The 11,149-nt window shown below is 41.8% G+C and overlaps 1 long non-coding RNA gene across 1 annotated transcript, besides 1 other annotated feature; it reads left to right on the top strand.

Annotated features, from left to right (window-relative positions):
• Positions 1-200: 200 nt before the first annotated feature.
• LOC124904271 (uncharacterized) lies at positions 201-1,723 on the top strand. The gene is made up of 2 exons (XR_007066319.1): positions 201-629; positions 1,502-1,723. It is a non-coding gene; the product is annotated as an uncharacterized LOC124904271 (long non-coding RNA).
• Positions 8,052-8,248: a silencer, noted in NCBI's record as "fragment chr18:23531372-23531568 (GRCh37/hg19 assembly coordinates)". NCBI's record gives its function as "represses an EF-1alpha promoter that drives an FKBP-Casp9 reporter gene in an ReSE screen in K562 erythroleukemia cells {active_cell/tissue: K562}" and the evidence as "EXISTENCE:reporter gene assay evidence [ECO:0000049][PMID:32094911]".

Here is an 11,149-nt window from a genome sequence, read left to right as displayed (position 1 = left end):
TGAGCAATTGAGCAAGTCAGAGGATTCTGCAGGGGTCTCTCAAGGAAGGCTATTCTGGTTGAGATTCACAGGAAGGCCCCATGATTAGGCCGGATTACAAACCTGCGTCATCTCTTCAGACCCAATTTGCAAAACAAAAGCTAACGTGGTTGTTTGCTCAACAGCTATTTCTCTGCTCTTTCCTTGTCCAACAGGATGCTGATTTTATTTGAATGTCGGTCAGCAATCCTACAGTAACCTGACTCCAAAGATGGCTGCCATGGATTCCTTCCCTCCCTGTACTCCCCCATTGAGGAGTGGAGTCTCTACAATCTGGGCTGGACTGGGTTTGACCAATAGAATACTGCAGAAGTATATGGCATGAGAGAGTATAGCCAGCTCCAGGCTTGGCATTCAAGAGGAATGGAGTTTCTGCTTCCTGTCTTTGGGAGCCGTGAGCTACCTGCTAAGAAGGTTAGACCACTCCACTTAAGAGAGAGGCCACGTGCACAAGCACTGAAGGACTAGATGTGTGAGCAAGGAGGCCATCTTGGGGAACAGCCAGCCCAGCCGAGCCTACAGAAGACTCCAGCCCCAGTCATTTGATGGCAGCCACAGAAGGAAGCCAAGCAATGCCCAGCTGAGCTCAGGTAACTCACAAAACTATGAGATATCATAGTAAATTGCTTTAAGGCACTAAGTGTTTGGGTGGTTTTGAGGCAGGAGAATAGGATCTGGAGGTAGGGAACCTAAGGCTGTTTCATGCCGACTTCCCGGAACTAAACTGAAGGGAAAACCCTAACTTTCCGCGACTAAGTAACAAAAGGACCGGAGGCTACTCCCTTTGCAAACCCCTCACCTTTCCCAGATGGGAAATTGGCTATCCACAACCAATCAGACTGATTGCTGGTAGAGTCTTTTTTCGCAACTTTGTAACTTCACCTTAGTCTCTGATTGGTTACTTTTTTGCAACCAATCAGATGTTTGCACAGGAGTGTGACCTTTGTAACTCCACTTCAGCCTCTGATTGGTTGCTTTTGGCAACCCATCAGACCAATTGTAGGCCACCACTTCATTTCCATGAGGTGAGCATGAAGTGGCTAATGGGAAACCTCTAGGGGATATTTGGACCTGAGAAGATTCTGTTTAGGGGTCCTTGAGCCGCTGCTGGGCCAGCTCCCACACTGTGGAGTGTACTTTTGTTTTCAGTAAATCCCTGCTTTCGTTCTTTTGTTGCTTCATTCTGTCTTTGCTTTGCTGGGCGTTTTGTCCAATTCTTTGTTTAAAACGCCAAGAACCTGGACAACTTGCGGTCAAGACCCTCTACCGGTTAACACTTTGTTGTATAATAATAGACAACCGTAACCAATGTGCTCAGGAAAAAACATCTTCTCAGTCCTGGAAGTGAGTCATGATAGGTGTAAACCATTCTTAATAATTCCATTCTTTTGCCAAACTATTTTAGGGGGATACACGGGGCCCAGTCACAGTCAGTGAGATACTGAATGGCCTTCCCTTACAGATAAAAAGCGACTCAAGGGAGGACATGTCTGTGTTTTTCTGCCTGACATTGTTGTGTCTACACTGATTTCTGGAACGATGAAAGCTATATTCTGACCATAAAGGGACAGCTCTCAGGACAGCCAGTAAGCTGAGGATGACAGAGCGAAAAAGAGACAGCTTGTGTCCTGAAGTCAATTCCAAAACCTCCCAAACTCTATAATAAACTCCTTCCATAACCTCTTTTTGTTTAAATCAGTTTGATTTTGGTTTCCTATTAGTTACAGGTGAAATCATCTGAATTGATACAGTGTGAAAATGAATCTCTATACTATGCCTTTTCACTGCTGGGAGAAAGAAAAAAATGAAAATTATAAAGTTTTTACCCTTTCTTTCATGCTGTTCAAGTGTGGGCCCCGGAGCAGGCCTTGCAAAGCCTGGGATATACAAAGGTAGCAGCTGAGTTGTGGGTGGAACCTAAATTGCTTTGCATAATAAAATAAAAGAATTGAGTGTGAGAGGAGGGGGCTAGAGAACAGAAACTCAGGAAGGTAGGAGGAGGTATGTATGTGTGTGTATGTGTGTGTGTGTGTGTGTGTGTGTGTGTGTGTGTGTGAGAGAGAGAGAGAGAGAGCAGGGCAAAGAGAAATAGGAAGGGGAGCTGATCCCAGGGGAAAAGGCAGCCTTAGTAAAGTCTGCTATGCACAAAGCCAGCTTTGAGTGTGAAGATGAGTTTCATGTTTGGCTTGGTGTGGAGCAGAGGAAAACCCAGGAGGTGCAGAGTGAGGGAAGTGGAGAGCTAGAAGAAGAGGAAGGCAGAGTTAGAAGTGGCTGGGGGAATGTGAGGTGCTAGGGCTTTATAGGAATCCGGAAGCTGTCATGGGGAGGAGGGAGGGGTCATGGCAGTAAAAAATCTTTAACTCTGGAAGTGCAAAATGACATCTTCTGACATATTGATTGAAGACTCGCTTCTTACACAATGATTATGTACTAAAAACGTGAGTTTTTTTTTTCCAAGTTTGAAGTATCTAAATTCTACATTCAGTTTTCTTTGAGATCCTTGTTGCTGTTTAACTCCTAGGCCATAGCAAGACTTGTTGAGATAAGTCAAACTTGCCTGAAATTAGAGTAAACAACCCGAGTGAATGGGAAGCAGCATAAACCAATGGAAAGAGAGCCAAGCTTTATCAGGAGGACTAGGTTCTTGCTGCAATTCTCTCGCTAACTTCCTGTGTGACCCTGAGCAAGTTGCTCAGTGATTGCTAGCCTCAGCTTCCTCCCTTATAAAATAAATAGCTAACTGCCCTCCCTTGCTCCTGCTCTCGCCATTTGATGCGACTGCTCCCCCTTCGCCCTCTACCACTATTGGAAGCTTCCTGAAGCCTCACCAGAAGAGATGCCAGCACCATGCTTCCTGTACACCCTGCAGAATCATACTCCTTAGATAAAAACAGGTTAAGAAAAGAATGAAAAAGAAAAAAAAAAAAAAAAAGAAACCCAACCCATATTTCAGTGATCAGAGCAAGAATAAGGATATGGAAACACTTGAGACAATGAATTAAAGAATCATTATGAATGAAGCACCCATACGTGCATGACAAGCTGCATATTGTGAATTAAATAGCTAAGTCCTACATCCTTCCATGGATTGTAAGAAAGCCAACAAGCAACCAAGTTCAGATGGACATAGCAATAAGAGTTATGTGAAAAGAGGTAAAACAGCAAGTCTGTGAATTAATACATTATATTAACAGATTATAGTGATAGTGGATTTTTTATGTTGAAGCCTGAATCAGCCACTGCCTTGGGAAGAATTGTGGACTACATTTCCATCTGAAAAAAAACAAAAAAACAAAAAAACAAAACTTCTAGAAGAGTCATCTAAGGAGGATACATTGAAAAAAACAAATCCTGGAGAATGTTAACTATGGAAACTGCAAAGGAAAGGAGGGATTTAACTGAAGGTGTAGAGTTGGAGGTGGAAAATAAGGATGAGGGTTTGCTAACAAGACCTTGTCAGGACTGATAAAGACGAAGAAATACAAAGGAGACCTTGACTTAACTGCTGGTTTTCTGTTTTATTTTCTGCACAGAAATAGAATGTCTTGAACTCTTCGGGTAGAGGTTTGAGTTTAATTACCGATTGTTTGGAGCTAAAGGTCTGTTCACTCACCCTATATCCTCACAGATATAGGCCACATAGAGACGGTGAAAATGAACCAAAAAACAAAAACAAGTGAGAACAGGGAAAGAGTAAGAAGGAGAAAAGATATCTGAAAAGATGCCAAGAAAATTTTGTGTCTGAAGGAACCTCTAGTCCACTTGTTTGATTTTACAGATGAAGACACTGAGACTCCAAAAGAATCCATAATTGAAGGTCACACACTAATGATTAGTGGCAAGACTGGTATTAGAATTTGGATTTCCTGGTTTCCATTTTTGCAATCTTGTTACCACATGTTCAGTATTTAGCTTTGGGTTACTGCATCCTCAAACTAGCTTCTTTACCTGAAGGACACATTTTAAAATAAAATTTTCAGTATCAAAGAGTGACACCTGCAATGTCACGTTAAGAGGAAAATTAACTAGTATTTGCTTGGGCAGACCCATTAAAGCAGATAAAGATGGCCAGCAGTTTCTACAACTAACATGATTCATATCTTCTTTGTGCATATGCAAAGCACATTTAAAATATGAACCCATAGGGTGATAGGAGAAAGCCAACTGAATTAACAATGAAAACAAATGACTGTTTTTTAAAAATAGCTAATGTATATCTGTTCCTTTAAAATAAAATTTTAAAAATCATTTTGAAATTTGTCAAATATATCACTGTTTTTAGAAAAGAAAAAGCCAGCTTCTAACATTTGCAGGTCCTGTCAAGAAAACAAACAGAGATCCACATATAGCGTGTCTACATATCTGCATGTTACAAGATAAGGTAACAAACTATCAAGTAAAATATGTCCTATCTGTAAGGGCAAGTAAATATTAAAAATAAGAGGCTTAATTCTTGTTAAAAATAAGGGAAGAAATTACCTTCGTTCACTTTTCTTAGAGTATTTACTTTAGAAAATGTGTACTTGTAAGTTATTTCCCTCTTTGACATGTACGTAAATGTTTTTAGAGCTAAATAAGTTTTCTGCTGTCTTTGTGACCCAGGAATGTCTTTCTCAAGGACCTGGCAGCCATTGCTTTAGAATATAATCATTGAGGGAGATAGCACCCCATCTCTCAGTTTCTGAGGGACGGTAGGAGCCTAACTTTGGTGATTGCCTCCCCGCCACAACTTGCAAAATTACCTTCTGTCATAAAGATAGGAGAAGCTTATTTTCCTTTGTATAAAATCATTTAACTAATACAGATGGTTACGCCAATTACCAGGTGAATTTAGGACGAACTATGTGTTATTTGAGAACTAATTTTTGTTTATCTTGGGAAAAGGTATATAATGGGTTGTATCTTCTTGGCTATATTAAAGGCTGGAATTTCTTTCTGTCTTTGTAATTCCTTAGTGGACTGCCTGTGATGTGCATCACATTTTGGTTTAATAGTTTATTCGTAATAAAACTATTTTCTCTGCTACCTTTGTGGAGAGGGTTTCTGGCTTGGAAGAAGATTTTGTTTAGAATTATATTTTCTCAACATATCCTTTTACCTTGACAAATATACAGTCCTAGAGAATTGGAAGATGGGATTTAAATGAGGAATTCTTAGACTCTCCAGAGTTCTTCATCAAAATATGGCATGGTAGAGAGAGCTGGCCCTGGCCCATGCCCTCACCTCATCTTCCCTTCCCACTGCAAGGGCCTTGGGCACACACGTGTGGCAACCCAGTCTGCACATTCAATTCTATCCTCAACTCCCCCGGACTTCAGCCCCACAAACGTCTGCCCCTTGTCACTTCTTAGGGCTGGGGGTGTGCACACTGGTGGGGATGCAGCTGCCCTTGAGAGGTTGACTTGGGAAGGCACCATGCACAGGCTCTGGGACCCTGGACAGGGCATTCTGGAGTCCCGGGTGCCTGAAACACAGTCTAATATTGTGGCCAAGGACTCAGGGTAAGCATGTACTGTTGACACTGAAAGCTCCTGGCCTTGTGCAGAGAAGCCTGGCTAGAAAAGTGTCAGAGAGAAGCTGGGGAAGGGTCAGGGTGGGGTTGTCTATCATGCAGCAGGAGTAGTACACTTCCCCACTCCTCAGGTCTCAGGGTGAATAATGTATTCTGAGAGAGAGAGAGCAAGAAGTGAAAAGTACACCTAATTTCCTTTCACTTTTACTTTCATTTTTGTTTATTTATTTATTTTATTTTTTTGAGACGAGGTCTTGCTCTGTCACCCAGGCTGGAGTGCAGTGGTGCGATCACGGCTCACTGAGACCTCAACCACCCAGGCTCAAGTGATCCTCCCACCTCAGCCTCCCAAGTAGCTGGGACCACAGGTGCACCACCACGCCTAGCTATCCTTTCACTTTCTGTCCCTGCCCCGACGATACCCACTTACTGTCCATAGTTTAGTGTGTATCCTTCTAGGATGGTTAATTGTATGTGTCAACTTAACTGGACCATGGTGCCCATATACTTGGTTAAATACTATTACGGATGTTTTCTGTAAATGTGTTTTTTGGGGATGAGATTAGCATTTAAATTGGTGAACTGCAACTGTGAGTTTTCCTTGGCAGGCCTGCTCTTGTCTCCTCCCTTGGTAGGTAGTGACAGCCCCTCAGGAACTGTTGGTGGTATTAGTTGACAACTACATCAAACTCTTCACAGACTGCAACACAGAAGCCTTCCGGAAGATACTGGACATGAAGGGAATGAAGAGGAACAAGCAGAGCAGCATGCTGGAATTCCTGCACCTGCCACTCCCCATGCTGCCCTTGGGGGTGGAAAGCTCAAGCTCACTGTCCCTGATGCCGCCAACACCAGAGCAGGAATTGTCTGGCATCTGCAAACTCATTAAAAAGAGACTGTGGGGCTGGGCATGGTGGCTCACACCTGTAATCCCAACACTTTGGGAGGCCAAGGAGGGGCGGATCACTTGAGGTCAGGAGTTTTCGACCAGCCTGGCCAACATGGTGAAACTTCATCTCTACTAAAAATAGAAAAATTAACTGGGCATGGTGGCTCGTGCCTGTAGTCCAGCTACTTGGGAGGCTGAGGTAGGAGAATCCCTTGAACCGGGGAGGCAGAGGTTGCATTGAGCCAAGATTGTGCCTCTGCACTCCAGGGCAACACTCTGTCTCAAAAAAAAAAAAAAAAAAAAAAAAAGTACCACTGTTTTTTGGATGCTTTGGTCTGCAGTGAAACTTTAAATTAATTCTGTCATGAAACATAGGAGAAACACGATTCATGTGTATCTCTTTACCATGCACAAAATCTCAAATCATTATAATAAAGCTTATTTTCTCCAAAAATAAAAATAAATACACAAAGCCCTTCATAAAGTGAGTGGGCTGCATCCAATCAACTGAAGTCCTGAAGAGAACAAATACTGACCATGCAAGATTCCACCACCTTCTAGAATTCTGTCCTCAGGTGGCCTTTGGTCTGGAACTGCAGCTCTGGCCTGGGTCTCCAGCCTGCCAGCCTCTTCATCAGATTTTGAATGTTCCAAGCCTTACAATCGTATGAGTCAATCCTTAAAATAAATCTCTCTCTACATATATACACATCCTGTTTCTGTTTCTTTAGAGAACCTTGACTAACACACCTTCCCATTGTTTCTCTGGACATATTCAAATATACACATTCAAACATAAACACTCAAATTGGAGTCTATTGCATGTGCTTTATTTGTTTGGTGTTTTCTTTCTATGGCAGCATCTGCAGTTTAACTGATATAATGCAATAAAGTGTTCAGCACTGTGCTTGGCAATGTTAATGCATCATCGGTACGTGGAGCATGGAGCATGCAGGGCTAGCATCACCAGGCAAGTGTTTATCATCTCCTGACCCTTTAAGCTTTATTCAGTGGAGAATTCTTTTCCCCTGCTCCTGGATGGAAGCTCTGGGAGTCCCACAAATCTTCTGAACATCCTTAGGTCATAACAAGTCCCAGAGTCACCTTGAGTGGCAAACACAGTGTCAATTCAAAAACAAGAATATCCAAGACCAGATGAGAAACAAAACTTTGAACGTGATTTACAATTAAGCCTTTTACCTCTCCTCTATTCAGCTAGAACCTGCTGTTGTTGGGAAGCCCACTCTTGGGGAAGGTGTATTGGGTTCAAGTTATTCTTTTTCCATGTTATTTCTCCATCTTATCCTGCTGCCTGTCTTCTGGTATCTTCTATGGTCTCTCACACTTTCAGGGTTCAGACAGAGGGAAGGAGTAGCAGAAGTGGGTAGGAAAGTTATTTCATGATTGACCAGTTTTGTGTTTTCTGAATCTGGCAGCTCTAACAAGAGGCTCTTTCTCTCATGGATGTTTGCATGGGTTCTTCGGTGTATCCTCCAACCCCTTGGGACTTCCCACCTATATTTCCCTTGACAAGAATGATGAGTTTGCTTCCAGCTGGCTGCCTTCCCATTCTGTGGTCCCTAGGAATATGTTGCTACCATCAGCTTCTCTCTGCTGAGGCCTATCCACCCTCTCAGTTGGCCCAGGTGGACAGGTCCCAAGAAGACCTCAGGCTGGTTGTTTCTCCCCCATGGTCCACACCTGGCCCATGAAATTACTCAGGTCTTCTTGTCTCCATAAATTCTGGGAGTGCAGGCCACCCCCACACAGACATTTCTTCTACTCATTCATCAGTAGCTACACAGCCTACCTCTCCTCATAGATTTCTCAGATGGGATCAGATACAATTCATTGTATCCTCCTTCTCCTCCAACTTCAGGGGGTGCTTATTTCATTCTCTGAGTAGTCTCACTAGAGTCCCTCTCCCTTAACTTGGATATACAAGGAGCACCCCAAACCCTTCCATCTTGATAGTACTCATAGTATATCAGCAACTTTTGGCAAAGAAGTATTTCTGGAATCCTTTTAATTTCCCATGAATTGATTATTTTTTGTCTTCAAATGGAACAAGATGCTTAAGAGTTCAATAACTGGTTCCTGGATTATTTTCATTGAAAATTAGATTGATATTTTACTTTGATGTGGTATATTTACTGCATTTTGGTGCCTTGGTTAAAACTTCCACTTTAACATCCTATTACATCAACTATTACTTTTATCATTATTTTTATTATTATTTATCATTTACAAAAAATTAGTTTATAGTGTTCATAGTATTAAAGTTATAATTTATTTAAATCTTCTTCCACAGAGAGTCTTGATGTTGTTTCTAATTTTTTTAAATAAAAATAATGGACAGAGATATTGATATCATTTGGATGTCCCCTCCAAATCTCATGTTGAGATGTAATCCCCAGTGTTGGAGATGGGGCCTGGCGAGAGGTGTTTGTGTCATGAGGGTGAATCCTTCCTGGCTTGGTGCTGTTCTTGAGATAATGAGCGAGTTCTTATGAGGTCTGGTTCAGTAAAAGTGTGTGGCACTCCCTATCCCCACCCACTCTCTTCTTCTTGTTCCCACTCCTGCCATGTGGGATGCCCCTTTGCCTTCCACCATAATTGTAAGCTCCCTGAGGCCTCCCAGAAGCAGACACCAGTGCTGTGTTTCCTGTACAGCCAGCAGAACTGTGAGCCAGTTAAACCTCTTTTCTTATAAATTACCCAATCTCAGGTATTTCTTTAGCACAATGCAAGAATGGCCTAATACAGGTATCTTCAAGGATCTTTGTCCACATGTTTGGAATTTCTTTTCTTTTTTTTTTTTTTTTGAGAGGGAGTCTCACTCTGTCACCCAGGCTGAAGTGCAGTGGCGCAATCTCAGCTCACTGCAAGCTCCACCTCCCGGGTTCACACCATTCTCCTGCCTCAGCCTCCCGAGTAGCTGGGACTACAGGCGCCCACCACTGCTCCCGGCTAATTTTTTTTTCTGTATTTTTAGTAGAGACGGGGTTTCACCGTGTTAGCCAGGATGGTCTTGATCTCGTGACCTCGTGATCTGCCCGCCTCGGCCTCCCAAAGTGCTGGGATTACAGGCGTGAGCCACCACACCCGGCCACATGTTTGGAATTTCTGTAGATTAGATTCTTGGAAGTCATATTTCTGGATCAAAGGTCAATTACAATTTAAAATTGGAATTGCTGCCCAATTTCCACTTTCATAACAATGATTTCTCACCTTTATAATATCAATATTTGCATTTTTGCCAGTATTATGGGTAAAGTATTTTTCCTTCATGTTTTATTCTACACTTGCTTGATTAGCAGAAAAGCCCATCATCTTTATATGTCTTTATTGGCCATCAATATTTCTTCCTCAGTGAATTTACTTTTCATATTTTTTTCTATTGGTTAATTTGTCTTTCTTCTTGTTGATTTCTAAGAACTTTTAATATATTGTGAAGATGCAAGTCCAGTTCTGTGGTTTTCAAATGGTGTTCCGTGGAGCCCAAGGCTCTGTGGAGCTGTATGAGGTACATGTGGCTGCCCTTCCTTGGAAATTCAAGGCAGAACAAACGGGGTTCTGGTTCCCTCAACCCATGCTTCATCCACAATAGCTCTCTTTTACCTCACTTAGACATTAGAGAGCATTTATAAAATTATATTTTGGGGAAAAAAGGGCCTATTGCTAAATATAAGTATTTAAATCAGATCATTAAGTATCTTTATGGTCCTGAAGTACTATGATCTTTGGTTCTATGAATTCAAAAAATATGCTGTAATTGCTGAGGGATAGAAGATAGATCCAGAGTTGACAGATGATGCTGTGGTCTGAAGGTTTGTGTGCTCCCATCATTTATAGATTAAAACCTAATCCTCAAGGTAATAGTATTAGAAGGTGGGACTTTTGGGAGGTGATTAGCTCATGATGGCTCTGCCCTAATTAATGGGATTAGTGCCCTTATAAAAGACACCCCAGAGAGCTAGCTAGCCATATGAGGACACAGCAAGAAGGCACCATCTATAAGGAATGGGTCCTCATCAGACAGTGAATCTACTAGTGCCTTGATCTTGGACTTCTCAGCCTCTAGAACTGTGAGAAATAAATGTTTGTTGTTTATAAGTCACCAAGTTTATGGTATTTTTGTTATAGCAACCCAAATAGACTAAGACAGATGATCATGTTTTTGAGAGCTTTATTTGTTTACTAAGTATTGTTATTCAGCACTTACCTACTTTGTGCTAGGCACTACACAAAGTGCTGATTTGTACCCAAAACAGACATGGCTCCTAATCTCTCAAACTATTGGTTGGTGAAGAAGAAAGATAGTAAACAAGTAATTACAATAAAATATGTTGAAGGTTATGAAAGCCACATACAACATATTATCTTAAGCCAGTTTGAAGGGCAGTGATGAGGAAGGGACGTTCAACTATAATCTGAAAGTGACTATGAGCTAGAGAGGTGAAGGGAGGGGGCTACGGATTGGGACTGGATGAACAGCACACAGGACGATAAATAATTTAAGTACATTTTTATTTCCTTGAAGTACAGATGCTTCTTAACTTATGATGGGGTTACATCCCGATAAACCCATTGTAAGGTGAAAATATTGCAAGTTGAAAATGCATCTGCTATACCTAACCTGCCAAACATCATAGGTTAGCCTAGCATATCTTAAACATGATCAGAAGACACACATTAGCCTACAGCTG

This window comes from Homo sapiens, chromosome 18 (genome assembly GCF_000001405.40).
Source record: "Homo sapiens chromosome 18, GRCh38.p14 Primary Assembly".
Taxonomy (NCBI): Eukaryota; Metazoa; Chordata; class Mammalia; order Primates; family Hominidae; genus Homo; species Homo sapiens.
The sequence above is the reverse complement of the archived record's forward strand: the minus strand, read 5'-3'. Positions and strand labels throughout refer to the sequence as shown.